At 38.0% G+C, this 17255-nt stretch overlaps 1 protein-coding gene across 5 annotated transcripts in view; it reads left to right on the forward strand.

The window, feature by feature from the left end:
* SPAST (spastin) overlaps positions 1-17255 on the forward strand; it is a 94082-nt gene that overhangs the window by 40948 nt on the left and 35879 nt on the right. For all 5 annotated transcript variants that reach the window (NM_014946.4, NM_199436.2, NM_001377959.1 and 2 more), the window contains 3 exons: positions 10135-10322; positions 11199-11332; positions 11616-11709. In NM_014946.4, coding sequence (NP_055761.2) covers positions 10135-10322; positions 11199-11332; positions 11616-11709 — 416 coding nt within the window. The remainder of the gene's footprint in view (positions 1-10134; positions 10323-11198; positions 11333-11615; positions 11710-17255) is intronic.

Consider the following 17255-nt stretch of genomic DNA (forward strand, 5'->3'; position numbering starts at 1 on the left):
CTGGTTATTTTGCTCGTTAGTTGATGCAGTTTCTTCCTAGCCTCGATGGTCTTTACAATTTGGCATGTTTTTGCAGTGGCTTGTACCGGTTGTTCATTTCCATGTTCAGTGCTTCCTTCAGGAGCTCCTGTAAGGCAGGCCTGGTAGTTACAAAATCTGTCAGCATTTGCTTGTCTTTAAAGGATTTTATTTCTCCTTCACTTATGAAGCTTAGTTTGGCTGGATATGAAACTCTGGGTTGAAAATTCTTTCCTTTAAGAATGTTGAATATTGGCCCCCACTCTCTTCTGGTTTTTAGAGTTTCTGCCAAGAGATCAGCTGTTAGTCTGATGGGCTTCCCTTTGTGGGTAACCCGACCTTTCTCTCTGGCTGCCCTTAACATTTTTTCCTACATTTCAACTTTGGTGAATCTGACAATTATGTGTCTTGGAGTTGCTCTTCTTGAGTAGTATCTTTGTGGCATTCTCTGTATTTCCTGAATTTGAATGTTGGCCTGCCTTGCTAGGTTGGGGAACTTCTCCTGGATAATATCCTGCAGAGTGTTTTCCAACTTGGTTCCATTCTCCCCGTCACTTTCAGGTACACCCGTCAGACATAGATTTGGTCTTTTCACATAGTCCTATATTTCTTGGAGGTTCTGTTCGTTTCCTTTTACTCTTTTTTCTCTAAACTTCTCTTCTGGCTTCATTTCATTCATTTGATCTTCAATCACTGATACCCTTTCTTCCACTTGATCGAATCGGCTACTGAAGCTCATGCATGCATCACGTAGTTTTCGTGCCATGGTTTTCAGCTCCATCAGGCCATTTAAGGTCTTCTCCATGCTGTTTATTCTAGTTAGCCATTTGTCTAATCTTTTTTCAAGGTTTTTAGCTTCTTTGCAATGGTTTCGAACATCCTCCTTTAGCTCGGAGAACTTTGTTATTACCCATCGTCTGAGGCCTACTTCTGTCAGCTTGTCAAAGTCTTTCTCTGTCTAGCTTTGTTCCGTTGCTGGTGAGGAGCTGTGTTCCTTTGGAGGAGAAGAGGCGCTCTGAATTTTAGAATTTTCAGCTTTTCTGCTCTGGTTTCTCCCCATCTTTGTGGCTTTATCTACCTTTGGTCTTTGATGATGGTGACGTACAGATGGGGTTTTGGTGTGGATGTCCTTTCTGTTTGTTAATTTTCCTTCTAACACTCAGGACCCTCAGCTGCAGGTCTGTTGGAGTTTGCTGGAGGTCCACTCCAGACCCTGTTTGCCTGGGTATCACCAGCGGAGGCTGCAGAACAGCAAATGTTGCAGAACGACAAATGTTGCTGTCTGATCCTTCCTCTGGAACCTTCGTCTGACAGGGGTACCCAGGTATATGAGGCGTCAGTCAGCCCGTATGGGGAGGTGTCTCCCAGTTAGGCTACTTGGGGATCAGGGACCCACTTGAGGAGGCAGTCTGTCCGTTCGCCGATCTCAAACTCCATGCTGGGAGAACTACTACTCTCTTTAGAGCTGTCAGACAGGGACCTTTAAGTCTGTAGAAGTTACTGCTGCCTTTTGTTCAGCTATCCCATGTCCCCAGAGGTGGAGTCTACAGAGGCAGTCAGGCCTCCTTGAGCTGTGGTGGACTCCACCCAGTTCAAGCTTCCTAGCTGCTTTGTTTACCCACTCAAGCCTCAGCAATGGCAGATGCCCCCGCCTCCAGCCTCTTTGCCGCCTTGCAGTTCGATCTCAGACTGCTGTGCTAGCAGTGAGCGAGGTTCCGTTGGCATGGGACCCTCTGAGCCAGGCATGGGATATAATCTCCTGGTGTGCCGTTTGCTAAGACCATTGGAAAAGCCCAGTATTAGGGTGGGAGTCTCCCTATTTTCCAGGTACCATATGTCACGGCTTCCCTTGGCTAGGAGAGGGAATTCCCCAACCCCTTGCGCTTCCCAGGTGAGGCAATACCCCGCCCTTCAGCTCACACTATGTGGGCTGCACCCACTGTCTGACAATCCCCAGTGAGATGAACCCAGTTCCTCAGTTGGAAATGCAGAAATCAGCTGTCTTCTGTGTCGCTCACACTGGGAGCTGCAGACTGGAGCTGTTCCTATTTGGCCATCTTGGAACCCTGCCTTCTTCATTCATATGTAATACAAAACTTCTAAGGTTTTAGTGGAGAAGAGATAGAGTAAAAGGATTTCTATAGACAGAAGAAACAGTTGGTCATCAACTCTTTCCCTTGTGGCTTCACATCTCCCCTAAGGACTTCTTATGTTGGTTTGGTCTTACAGTATAGTCAGTGGCAGTTTCCCTCTTCCCATTCCTTCCTCTGTCTGATTTAAAATGCTGTTTCAAGTATCGATATAAGTATTTTGCCTGTTTCTTTTAGCGTGGCTGTGAAGGGCTGACATTTTCAGAAGGCACTTACTGAAAAAAAAAAAACAAAGAAATGTAAGAGTCCATCACATATAAATAGTTAAGTTTCTAAAATATGTATTTGAGATCCCAGTAATTCTACTAGGATAAATAGCAAAAATTCTCCAGCCCTGAAGAGTTGGTCTGTCTTTCCTTTCCTTGTTATCTTGATTCTCTTTTATTTCATTTCACATGCTAGACCCCATCATGTTTTCCTGCTGCATTCCCCACTCCACCCTCCAAAGCAATGTTCTCTTCCTGCAACCTGTTTGAAAAAATTGAACTTTGTCTTATTTCATATCCCTAGTACAAGTTGAATATCCCTAATATGAAATCTGAAATCCAAAATGCTCTAAAATTCGACTCTTTTTTTTTTGAGATGAAGTCTTCCTCTGTCACTCAGGCTGGAGTGCGGTGGCGCAATCTTGGCTCACTGCAACCTCCGCAGCCTCCCCTAACCCCATCCCTGTGGGTTCAAGCGATTCTCCCACTTCATCCTCCCAAGTAGCTGGGACTACAGGCACCTGCCACCACACCCAACTAATTTTTTGTATTTTTAGTAGAGATGAGGTTTCACCATGTTGGTCAAGCTAGTCTGAGACTCCTGACCTTAAGTGATCCACCTGCCCTGGCCTCCCAAAGTGTTGGGATTACAGTCATGAGCCACTGTGCCTAGCCAAATATCCAAAACTTTTTGAGCGCTGACATGATGCTCAAAGGAAATACTGGAGTATTTTGCATTTTGGATTTTTGGGTTAAGGATGCTGAACCAGTAAGTATAATGTAAACATTGCAAAATGCAAAAAAATGTAAAAACCCTAAGCAGTTCTGGTCCCAAGCATTTCGCATAAGGGATACTCAACCCATAATCTTTTCTTTTCTGTTTTCTGGTTGGAAGGGCATATTGGCTTTATAGCTAATTTACACAGCATTGATGTTTAATACACAGTGAGTCCAAGTAGATCACTCAGACCTATTAGTAGTTTATTAGTGTCACTCACTTCTGGAACATTCTGTGATGTTTTACTTGGATGAGTTCTTTCACCTCTCTTGGGAAATAGTCATACCAAAGTCTGCTTATTACTACAATGTGTTATCTATTATACATTGTCCAATTTTCTACTCAAAATTACTAGACAGGCAAAGAAAAAGTAAAGTATAACCCTTACTCAAGAAAAAAAAGCAATCAGTAGAAACTGTGAGTGGGCCCAGATATTGGATTTAGCAGACAAAGACTTCAAAGCAGCTATTATAATATGTTTAAAGAATTGAAAGAAAATATGGTATCAGTTAAACAGGAAATCTAAGTAGATGATATAAACTAGACAATAAAAATAATATTCTAAAGTTGAAAAGTGTAGTTACTGAAATTAAAAATTTACAGACAACAGCCTCAACAGCAGATTAGAGATAGCAAAAGAAAGATTCAGTGACTTTGAATGCAGGTCTGTAGAAATTACTAAATTGATGACTCTCACGTAGCAACTTTCACCCGTAGTTTGGTTTCATATACAATGCTTTAACTCTTTTTGCTATTTTTTCTCTTACTTTCTGTGATGGAAACATTTTGTGCTTTGATTTTAATGGGTGTATCACAGTTATATACATCTTTACAAACTCATCAAATTGTATACTTTATTTATATATTTATTTTTTTTTGAGATAGGGTCTGACTCTTTCTCCCAGGCTGGAGTACAGCTGAAATTAGTTGGGACTACAGGTGGGCACCACTGTGCCAGCTAATTTTTGTATTTTTTGTAGAGATGGGGTTTCCCCATGTTGGCCAGTCTGGTCTCAAACTCCTGGGCTCAATCATTTCTGCCGCCTCAGACTCCCAGAGTGTTGGGATTATAGGTGTGAGCTACTGTGCCTGGCTGGTATAGCTTTTTTTTTTTTTTTTTTTTTTTTTGTGACAGAGTCTCACTCTGTCGCCCAGGGTGGAGTGCAGTGGCGCGATCTGGGCTCACTGCAACCTCTGCCTCCCGGGTTCAACCCATTCTCCTGCCTCAGCCTCCTGAGTAGCTGGGACTACAGATGCGTGCCACCATACCCAGCTGATTTTTGTATTCTTAGTAGAAACAGAGTTTCACCATGTTGGCCAGGATGATCTCGATCTCCTGACCTCGATCCACCTGCCTTGGCCTCCCACAGTGCTGGCATTACAGGCCTGAGCCACCATGCCTGGCTGTTGGTATACTTTAAATGGATGTAATTCATTGCAGATTATACCTCAGTAAATTTTTATTTAGTTTTTGAGACTGAGTTGCTCTGTTGCCCAGGCTGGAGTGCAGTGGCACGATTTCAGCTCACTGCAACCTCTGCCTCCTGGGTTTAAGCGATTTTCCTGTCTCAGCCTCCCCGGTAGCTGGAATTAGAGGTGTGTGCCACCATGATCAGATTATTTTTGTGTTTTTAGTAAAGATGGGGTTTCACCATGTTGGCCAGGCTGGTCTCGAACTCCTGACTTCAGGTGATCCACCCGCCTCGGCCTCTCAAAGTGCTGGGATTACAGGTGTGAGCCACCACGCCTGGCCTTAATTTTTAAATACTGTAAGGCTTATAAAGAAAAGAATATTCCCCTTCTGTTTCTTTCCTCTCACGTAGCAACCTTCACCCCTAGTTTGGTTTCATATACAGTGTTTTAACTCTTTTTGCTATTTTTTTCTCTTACTTTCTACTATATTTCCAAATACAATGCTTCTATAATGATTCCTTTTTTTTTTCTATCAGTTTTTGATAATCATTGACTCCTTATGGTCAAAGAAGACTTAATTCCCTTCTGTCACTCTTCATATATTAATATAACTAATATATATATTGTTTAGTTTTGATATAACTAAAAATAACTATATGTATATATAACTATATATGTATAAGCTATCTGTATATAGTTATATATGTATATGCACATACATATATAGTTACATATGTATACACACATACATATATAGTTACATATGTATATGCATATACATATATAGTTACATATCTATATGCATATACATATATAGTTACATATGTATATGCATACACATATATAGTTACATATGTATATGCATATACATATATAGTTACATATGTATATGTATATGTATATACATATATAGTTATATATGTATTAGTTATATCAAAATAACTATGTATATATAGCTGTAAATGTATATATAAACTATATGTATACAGTTATATATGTATTTGTATATGTGTGTATACATATATAGTTTTTTTTGTTTTTTTTTTTTGTTTTTTTTGTTTTTTTTTGGAGATGGAGTCTTGCCCTGTCCCCCAGGCTGGAATGCAGTGGTGCTATCTTGGCTTACCGCAACCTCTGCTTCCCAGGTTCAAGCAATTCTCCTGCTTCAGTCTCCCGAGTACCTGGGATTACAGGCACGTGGCACCACGCCAGGCTAATTTTTTGTATCTTTAGTAGAAATGGGGTTTCACCATGTTGGCCAGGCTGTTCTCAAACTCCTGACCTCGTGATCCACCCGCCTCGGCCTCCCAAAGTGCTGGGATTACAGGCGTGAGCCACCGCGCCTGGTCCCTATACATATATAGTTATATATACCTATAGTTATTTTTAGTTATATCAAAATAACTATATGTATATGTAACTATATATATAGTATATATAGTATATATATACTATATAGTGTGTATATATAGTATATATATACTATATAGTGTGTATATATAGTATATATATAGTGTATATATCGTATATACACTATATACTATATAGTGTATATATAGTATATGTAGTATATATAGTATATATAGTATAGTATATATAGTATATATAGTGTATATATACTGTATATATAGTGTACATAGTATACTATATAGTATACATATAGTACACTGTATAGTATATATAGTATAGTATATATAGTATACATAGTATACTATATATAGTATAGTATACATAGTATACTATATAGTATATAGAGTATATATACAGTATACTATATAGTATATAGAGTATATATACAGTATACTATATCGTGTGTATAGAGTATATATACAGTATACTATATCGTGTGTATAGAGTATATATACAGTATACTATATCGTGTGTATAGAGTATATATACAGTATACTATATCGTGTGTATAGAGTATATATACAGTATACTATATCGTGTGTATAGAGTATATATACAGTATACTATATCGTGTGTATAGAGTATATATACAGTATACTATATCGTGTGTATAGAGTATATATACAGTATACTATATAGTGTGTATAGAGTATATATACAGTATACTATATAGTGTGTATAGAGTATATATACAGTATACTATATAGTGTGTATAGAGTATATATACAGTATACTATATAGTGTGTATAGCGTATATATACAGTATACTATATAGTGTGTATAGCGTATATATACAGTATACTATATAGTGTGTATAGCGTATATATACAGTATACTGTATAGTGTGTATAGCGTATATATACAGTATACTGTATAGTGTGTATAGCGTATATATAGTATACTGTATAGCGTATAGAGTATATATATAGTATACTGTATAGTGTATAGAGTATATATATAGTATACTGTATAGTATATAGAGTATATATAGTTACATATACATATAGTTATTTTTAGTAATATCAAAAAACCATAGCTAAGATTTTTATGATTTAGCAAAATATTGTTTACCCCAAAGCCACGTATTATATATTAATGATATTTTTTCCCTTTTGAGTTTTTCTTCCCCACAGGTTTTCTGATCTTTTTTTTTGTTCTCTAACTTTATATTATAGGTATATACTCTTTTCTCTGTTTAATTTGCTTTTTAACTAGAAGACCTCCTTTAGTAGTTCTTTTAGTGAATATCTGTGGTTAAACTCTTAGTCTTTCCAGTGTCTGAAATACCCTCATTTTAATGTGACAGGTCACTTTTCTCACCTCAACATTTTGGACATACCTCATTTCCAACAAACATTTGTTACTTCTGATAGAGAGTCTGCTGTCATTCTCATACTTGTTCCTTGTGGAAATGTCTATATATAAAGTCTCAGAACTATATATTTTTAATATATATACATATTTTTATTTATTTAAAAATGTATAATTAAGTTAGTAGTAGTAGTAGTAGTAGTAGTAGTAGTAGTAGTAGTAGTTTTTTTTTTTTTAGATGGAGCCTCCATCTCCCGGGTTCAAGTGATTCTCCTGCCTCAGCCTCCTGAGTAGCTGGGATTACAGGCACACACCACCATGCCTGGCTAATTTTTGTATTTTGAGTGGAGATGGGGTTTCACCATGTTGGCCAGGCTGATCTTAAACTCCTGACCTCAGATGGACCACCTGCTTTGGCCTCCCAAAGCGCTAGGATTACAGGCATGAACCACTGCGTCTGGCCTTAAGTTATTATTGACTATTGATGCCCTGTTGCTCTATCAAGTAGTAGGTCTTATTTATTCTAGAACCTCGTTTTAAGGTATCCTGAATGTGGCTTTTTTTTTTTTTTTTCCTAAGACGGAGTCTCACTCTGTTGCCCAGGCTGGAGTGCAATGGAGTGATCTTGGCTCACCGCAATCTCTGCCTCCTTGGTTCAAGCAATTCTCCTGCCTCAGCCTCCTGAGTAGCTGAGATTACAGGCGCACGCCACCACACCTGGCTAATTTTTGTGTTTTTAGTAGAGACGGGGTTTCACCACATTGGTCAGGCTTGTCTCAAACTCCTGACCTTGTGATCCGCCCACCTTGGCCTCCGAAAGTTCTGGGATTACAGGCGTAAGCCACCACGCCCAGCCTAATGTGGATTTTGTTTTTTTTTTTAACTTGAATTTTATTTATACTTCCTGATTTTATAATAGTTAACTTGTAGTAAAAGTAAACTGGTTGTCTAAATAAATAAGCTGATTTCCTATACTAGTTTAGAGTCTTTAGTTTTCTTAAACCGTATTAAGAGATTTGATTACAAAAGTAAAATTGAGGCTTTTGTCTTTTTTTTTGGCCACTCTAATTTGCTGACTGACTTAACATTTGTCTTCACAGTAAACATTGTAAATAAACACTGATGTTTGTTGCGTAGTATGTAAAAATATTATTTAGGAGTGGTGAGATTTAAACATTTACAAACCTGTAATATATATAGTACAGCAACACTGGACAAATAACCTTTTCAACTTAATCAGAGGTGTTCTATAAATGTTCATTTGCATATATACAGCCCATATAATACTTAGCATATGTAAAAGCACATCTTTATACTCTTTCAATTAAAATTGATTATTATTATTATTTTTTTTTTGAGACAGAGTCCCTCTCAGTCACCCAGGCTGGATTGCAGTGGTGTGATCAGGGCTCACTGCAATCGGGTAGCTGGAACTACAGGGATGTGCCACCACGCCCAGCTATTTTTGTATTTTTAGTGGAGATGGGGTTTCACCATGTTGGCCAGGCTGGTCTTGAACTCCATACCTCAGGTGATCTGCCCGCCTCAGCCTCCCAAAATGCTGGGATTACAGGCGTGAGCTACTGCACCCGGCCTAAAATTGATTAGTTTTTAAGACCCTCTTGGTGGGAACAGACTTTCATAGTGTTTATAGTTATAATAGTTTGGAATCAAAGTAGTCGAGTGCTACTTTTTTTTCCTCTGTACATCCTATCCCTAATGCCTTTACTATATTTTGTTTCTTATTTGAGAGCTTTATTTGCTTCATAACTTTTTTTTTTTTTTTTTTTTTTTGAGACAGAGTTTCACTCTGTCACCCAGGCTGGAGTGCAGTAGTGCAATCTCGGCTTACTGCAACCTCCGCCTCCTGAGTTCAAGTGATTCTCCTGCCTCAGCCTCCGAAGTAGCTGGGATTATAGGCCCCCACCACCACGTCTGACTGATTTTTTGTATTTTTAGCAGAGACGAGGTTTCACCATGTTGGCCAGCCTGGTCTTGAACTACTGACATCAGGTGATCCGTCCACCTCGATCTCCCAAAGTGCTGGGATTACAGGTGTGAGCCATCGCGCCCGGCGCTTCATAACCTTTTTATATTGTCTTTCTGTTCCCCAAAATGAAGTAGTTTCTTCTTAAAAATACTGTTTTTTGTTTTTTTGTTTTTTTTTTTATTTGAGATGGAATCTCTCTCTGTCGCCAGGCTGGAGTGCAGTGGCACGATCTCGGCTCACTTCAACCTCTGACTCCGTGGTTCAAGCAATTCTCCTGCCTCAGCCTCCCAGGTAGCTGGGATTACAGGCACAAATACTGTTTTTAATAAGAAAATTAGAATAGGGACAGGCACAATGGCTCACTCTTGTAATCCCAGCACTTTGGGAGGCCAAGGTGGGAGGATTGCCTGAGCCCAGGAGTTCGAGACCAGCCTAGGCAACATAGTGAGTGAGACCCTGTTTCTATAAAAAAAATTTTTAATTAGTCCGGTCTGGTGGTGCACAACTGATGTCCCAGCTACTTGGGAGTTTGAGGTGGGAGGATGGATCACTTGAGCCCAGGAAGATTAAGGCCACAATGAGCTGTGATCATGCCACTGCACTCCAGCCCAGGCCACAGGTTTCAAAAAAAGAGAAAATTAGAATTATACGTTAGGGGGAAAAAACCTAATAACCATATTCCTATCTACCTAGTGACCACCCCTATGAAGATCCTGGTACATGTTCTCATTGAAATCTTATTTTGAAATATTTTTGAATTAAAAAAATATATTATTACCTTGGTTTTACAAATGTTTGCTTGTCTTTATGTTCAGCTACAATTTTCTAATCACAATGGTTTTACTTTTTCCTTGTCAGAAAGTGGAGCTGTTCCAAAAAGAAAAGACCCCTTAACACACACTAGTAATTCACTGCCTCGTTCAAAAACAGTTATGAAAACTGGATCTGCAGGCCTTTCAGGCCACCATAGAGCACCTAGTTACAGTGGTTTATCCATGGTTTCTGGAGTGAAACAGGGATCTGGTCCTGCTCCTACCACTCATAAGGTATTCTGGGACAGTAACTTTAATTGCTGTCTTTTTGCAAATAGAAAAATTTTTAAGATACTATTCCTGCTTAAGTTGATCATAAGTACTTTATAATACTTTAGAGAATGGATAAGTTTCCATAAAGTTAAATTTTTTTTTTTTTTTTTTGAGACTCTTGTTTTCCAGGCTGGAGTGCAATGGCGCGATCTCGGCTCATTGCAACCTCCGCCTCCCAGGTTCAAGCGATTCTCCTGCCTCAGCCTCCCAAGTAGCTGGGATTACAGGCATGCACCACCACGTCGAGCTAATTTTGTATTTTTAGTAGAGACGGGGTTTCTCCATGTTGGTCAGGCTGGTCTCAAACTCCCGACCTCAGGTGATCCGCCTGCCTCAGCCTCCCAAAGTACTGGGATTACAGGCGTGAGCCACCGTGCCCAAAGTTAATTTTTTTTTAAATCCACAGGGCAACTTGCTATAAAACTTTTTTTGGACCTCATTAGACATTTAATACCAAGTTTTGCTTACCCAGTCTGTTTTATATAATGCTGTATATTTCATTTTAAATTTATTTTTAAAATTATTTCAATCTTTGTAAATGTTTTATACCAGTAACATACCTAGAGTTTTGTCATGATTCTAACAAGGGTTAAAATTTGTTTTTATTTTGTAAAAACTAAATCTCTGGATAAAATCCTCTATAACTGACTTAATGCCAAATATAGTTCTCTAGTGAATACAGTTTTACCTTCAGGTAAATAAATATACAATTTATGGATTTTTATACCCTTTTTCCTATTTTTAAAGCTTGAATTCTGTGAACTTTAAGGTTAACTTATTTATGAAAAGTGTAAATGTTAGGTTGTATTTTCATATTAAAATTTTGTATCCTTTAAGGGTACTCCGAAAACAAATAGGACAAATAAACCTTCTACCCCTACAACTGCTACTCGTAAGAAAAAAGACTTGAAGAATTTTAGGAATGTGGACAGCAACCTTGCTAACCTTATAATGAATGAAATTGTGGACAAGTAAGTTTTGCCATCTAAATGTTTTATTTTATAGTTTTTATATTTTAATTTTACTTATAAAACATGTCAGGAGTGAAATAGATAATAAATACCTTGTCTGGTTTACATACTTAATTTTTATGATAGTTTTCAATTATAAATGTAGAAAACCATTGCTTTACTGATTTAACTATAGTTTAACAGTTAACATTAAAAATAACTATATGTCATAGGGCTTAGGCTTCATCTTGTAATAACTGGGCCCTGTTTGTATCGTAGAACTAACTGAGGTCTTGTTTCTTAGTGGAACAGCTGTTAAATTTGATGATATAGCTGGTCAAGACTTGGCAAAACAAGCATTGCAAGAAATTGTTATTCTTCCTTCTCTGAGGCCTGAGGTAAGAACTTTATATTATCATTTTTCTATAATACCATCTGTTACTGAATCCATAGTAGTAGTAGTAGTAAAGAAATATTTGAGCTATACTAAAATAATTAATTCATATAAGGTAACAATAGATTTAATGTTTTAAAAAAGATAAAACATTAACAATTGATGTTGAGAAGTTATTATAGAATAGGAAAATGGATATGAGTTCCTAATTTCCAATCCTTTTATATTTTTAGGAAAAGTGGGTAGTATGATATAATTTTGTTTTGTTTTGGAGACGGAGTCTCACTCATTGTGTCGCCCAGGCTGGAGTGCAGTGGCATGATCTTAGCTCACTGCAACCTCTGCGTCCCAGAATTCAAGTGATTCTCCTGCCTCAGCCTCCCAAGTAGCTGGGATTACAGGCATGTGCCACTATGCCCAGCTAATTTTTGTAATTTTAGTAGAGATGGGGTTTTGCTATATTGGCCAGGCTGGTCTTTCATACCTGATGTCAAGTTATCCACCCATTTCGGCCTCCCAGAGTGTTAGGATTACAAGTGTGAGTCACTACATCTGGCCAAATTTTGATATCAAGGTGAGAGAGATTTAAAATTAAGATAAGGTACAAAAATTAGCCTAGTGTGGGGGCGCACGCTTGTAGTCCCAACTACTGGGGAGGCTGTGGCAGGAGAATTGCTTGAACCAGGAGGCAGAGGTTGCAGTGAGCCAAGATGGCACCACTGCACTCCATCCTGGGTGACAGAGCGAGATGTCATCTCAAAAACAAAACAGGCCGGGTACGGTAGTTCACGCCTGTAATCCCAGCACTTTGGGAGGCTGAGGCGGGCAGATCACGAGGTCAAGAGATTGAGACCATCCTGGCTAATATGGTGAAACCCTGTCTTTACTAAAATTACAAAAATTAGCTGGGCTTGGTGGTGTGTAACCCCAGCTACTCGGGATGCTGAGGCAGGAGAATCGCTTGAACCCGGGAGGCGGAGGTTGCAGTGAGCCGAGATCACGCCACTGCACTCCAGCCTGGCGACAGAGCGAGACTCCGTCTCAAAAAAATAAATAAAAATTTAAAAAGATAAATACATAAAAATAAATAAATAATATTAAGAGAAGGAAATCAGGCAGGTAGTGGCCCCTGACACAATGAGTTTTCCCAGAATTGGATTGCTTGGAAATGCCGCTCAAAGAGTGTGGTAAACTCCATCGAAGGCTAAATACCAACGTGACAGTGATAATAAACAAGTACTTTATGGGAAAGTTTTTTTTTTAATTATTTTTAAAAAGAGAGAAATTGTACTGGAGAAAAGAGGAATTCAGGTAGAATAATTCTTTTTTTTTTTTTTTTTGAGATGGAATTTTGCTCCTGTTACCCAGGCTGGAGTGCAGTGGCTTGATGTTGGCTCACTGCAACCTCTGCCTTTGGGGTTCAAGTGATTCTCATGCCTCATCCTCCTGAGTAGCTGGGTCTATAGGCATGCACCCCAACACCTGGCTAATTTTTGTGTTTTTAGTAGAGATAGGGTTTTACCATTTTGGCCAGGCTGGTCTCAAACTCCTGGCTTCAGATGATCCGCCCACCTTGGCTTCCCAAAGTGCTGGGATTACAGGCAGAGGCCACTGTGCCTGGCATGAAGAACAATTTTTAAAAGAATGACTTTTAAGGATATTAAGTCATCAAAGTAGATAGAGCCATTAAATGATGGGTAGAAACCTAATCTTCCATCCCATATTTTATGACTTATTAAGGAAGATAGGCAATCTTGCAGTTGATAATAAATATTTGGCTTTCCATACTTAGCACCGTTTTGAATTTTTCCAGTTCACAGATGGTATATTTAGTGCTGTTCCAATAATATTGCAAAAAATAAATCTGAAGACTCACTTCTGGGTCACAGTTATTTCACTATTAACATTAAAATCTTACGGACCTACCTGCAACATGTAGTGGAAATAAGTTGTGTGGCACGTTGTGGTGGGTGCATTATTAAATAAATGTGCAAAGGTTTTATGGCTGTCTCAATTTTTCCATAGTCTTGAGTCATTCACATACTGCCTTTATGGTGTTTATCACTTGTAAGTGAGTACCAACTGTACTAGAACTTACTGAATATTTTTCAAGTCTATTTTACTTATTACTCATTCTAAGTACATAAAATCACTGGTCTGATATGCAAGTTAGGTTTTCGCTAATACCCAGTAAAATAATTAGATAATTATTAAAATAGAAAGCATTTGTCATTATGTGAACTGGATTTATGTCATGTACCACCTCAGGTCACACTTTGGGAAACGTAGCTTACGTATTGAGCTAACATTTTGCTGGAGTTATATAAGATTAGTAAATGCTATAGACTAAATATTGAAAAAAAAGCTTGCTTAAAGAGGATTTACATAATTGTAGACCTGAAAAGGATCTTAGCAGTCTTCTGATCGATTCATTGATAAAGAAACTAGTCCTAAGAGCTAAAATGACTTGCTCAAGATTTTAGTTAAGTGGTAGACCTAGGAAATACCTTTCTAAGATTAGAGCTGCCTGGTTAGTGCTATAGCTGCCACCTAATTCTTACATTTATTTATTAAGGGACATGCTTTTTACGGTAGAAAAATATATCTAAAATTGTGAAGGTAATACCAAGGAAATATTTAGGCTATGCAAGAAAAGTCATTCAGCTTTTGCTTTACCCAGGCCTATAGAGAACATATCTAAAATAATAAGTAACATGTGAATTTGAATTTAGGCATATTTTCATGGTAGTGACATAATGTGCAATTAAGAAGCTATAATAATGTAAAAATGCCAGTTGCAAGTTATTTCAAATAAAGTTGAATAACCTGACCTCAGGAGGGGCAGAAACCTTAGTAAACTTAGCAAACTGAGACCTAAGGAAGAGCAAGATCTGTGGTAGAGCCAGGTCTAAAGGTTTATATCCTGGTACAAACTTGTCTATACATCACCACACCTGCCAAATGGAACTTTTTTTCCTTGTAGTTCAGATTTCCAAGAAAGGGAATATTATTGTCCTAGCTCAGCGTTTCACAATAGACTCACAAAATGAATCTTGTTAAGCCTATGAATGGGTAAGACTTATCCCATAACACGCCTCTATTGTGTAAAAAAATCAGCTTTATTCCTAATTCCCTGTAGTAGGAAGCTTGCATAGACCACAATAGAGACATTGTTAGATTATATCAAGAAGGTGAGTGGCAGGCATTCTTGAGTATACTGGAATTTTTATTTCATTGTAGAAACACAGAATCATAATTAGTCATCTAAAACTGGTTTTAAGGAGATAATACTAAAGATACTCACTTGAGGTAGATTGTTCTCAGAATTACTTAAAATAAGTGCTTTAAATCTTGCTCATTCATGAAGCCATAGCCCTGGAAGGAGATATTGAAAAACTTCTCCATCTTCCTTCAATCCCATAGGACCATGTTTTTAATTGTAGTTTAACATTAAACATAATTTTTGAAAGTAGCCAATATTAATCTTTGACAAAAAACTCAAACTAAATAGCAGAAAATAGAACATGCCCTCTCCTCTCGCCCAAAAGTAAGACTACATTTTAAAGTATATCACAGTGATCTGTCTAAATATTTTTCTCAAATATTTTACTAAGAAAGCGTATATTCTTCTGTCCTTATTTCATAGATCTCTTCTGTATCCTGTGCAGCTTGTCTATCATTTCGAGCTTTTATATTTCTTATTTTGTTCTCTTGCTGCTTAAATGTGATTCTTTGAGATTTATAGAAGAATGTGATTGTTCTCCAGTTTTAAAAAGCTCTTCTCTATCTACTAAAATTTCCATGAATTTCTTTCTTTCTTTTTTTTTTTTTGATTGAGACAGTCTCGCTGTGTTCTCCAGCGTGGCCTTAGGCTTAAGTGATCCTCCTGTCTCAGCCTCCCAAGTAGCTGAGATTACAGAAATTTCCATGAATTTCCAAATATGATGTTATCTTTCATATAAGCTTAAACATAAGCCTTTCTTCTTTCAAAAATGTTAGAACTTACCTCTTTAAATAATCTTATAAAGCCATTTCTTAATTTTTGTTACCTTTTCGAATCTATTAACTTGCATATCATAGTAAATGAACCCTTAGCTCCATCATACCACACACCTTCTACTCCTGTCCTCCCACTTTTTCTCACCCAGGCTGGAGTACAGTGAATATTTAGTGCTTTTAAATATTATTCATTACCAAGCCAAGTAGCGTACTATTTTTTCCTTGTACAGCCTTTTTTTCCCCTAAATAATTGTGTTATTTTTTCATTTGCTTCATTTTCATCTTATCGATTGATAATTCTTCTGTTCCATTTCAGTCTAATTTCCACATGGCCAAACCAATCTAAAAACCTGTTAACTCAGGTCTTTTTTTTTTTTTTTTTTCCCAGAATACCTTTTCCTGGAACCACCTTCTTCTTTTCATTCGAGACCAAATGCTTTCCATGCCTGTGTCAAAGTGGTTGTTCTCTAATCTGTCTTCACTACCATCATAATTTCCTTTTCCTTTTTTCCTTTCTTTATTATGTATCTCCTGTCTTTTAAATTCCATATTTTCCACTTTCATGATTTATTTTCTCATTTTGATGGCTACATCTTTCAGTAACTGAGAAAAGGTTGTGTGAGGGAATATTTTGAGATGCTGTAGTTTTGAAAATATCTTTATTCTGCTGTCTTCTCATTAATAATTTGACTGGATGTCAAGATTTAAGTTGGAAACTATTTTCCATGAGTATTTTGAAGGCATTATCTATTGTCTTCTAGCTTCCAGTGCTGCTTTGTATTAGAGACAGAAGATCAGGAATCAGGATAGCATTGGACTTCTTATTTCTATTTCCCAAAGCTTTTTGGATCTTCTCTTTATTCTTATCTTCTGATATTTTATAATGATATGCTTGATGCATTTACTTTTTCTTTTCTTCTTCCCTCTTGTACATTTCTTTCTTTTTTTAGGTGGGGGCAGGGGGGAAGGAGTCTCACTCTTCTCACCCAGGCTAGAGTGCAGTGGTGCAACCTCAGCTCACTGCAACCTCCACCTCTGGGGTTCAAGCGATTCTCCTGCCTCAGCCTCCCGAGTAGCTGGGATTACAGGCATCTGCCACCACGCCCAGCTAATTTTTGTATTTTTAGTAGAGACGGGGTTTCAGGCTGGTCTTGAACTCCTGACCTCAGGTGATCCGCCCTCCTCAGCCTCCCAAAGTGCTGGGATTAGAGGCATGAGCCACTGCGCCCAGCCCCTCTTGGACCTTTCTAGATATTCATCCTTCAATTCTGAGAAAGGTTCTATAATTCTTTAATTTAAAAAAAGTTTTTTTGTTTCATCTTTCTCACTTTTTTTTTTTTTTTTTTTTTTTAAGACACAGTCTTGCTCTGTCACCCAGGCTGGAGTGCAGTGGTGCGATCTCAGCTCACTGCGCCCTTCGCCTCCTGGGTTCGAGTGATTCTCCTGCCTCAGCCTCCCAAGCAGCTGGGATTACAGGTGCCCACCACCACCATGCCCGGCTAATTGTTGTATTTTTAGTAGAGACGGAGTTTCACCATGTTGGCCAGGCTG

This window comes from Homo sapiens, chromosome 2 (genome assembly GCF_000001405.40).
Source record: "Homo sapiens chromosome 2, GRCh38.p14 Primary Assembly".
Taxonomy (NCBI): Eukaryota; Metazoa; Chordata; class Mammalia; order Primates; family Hominidae; genus Homo; species Homo sapiens.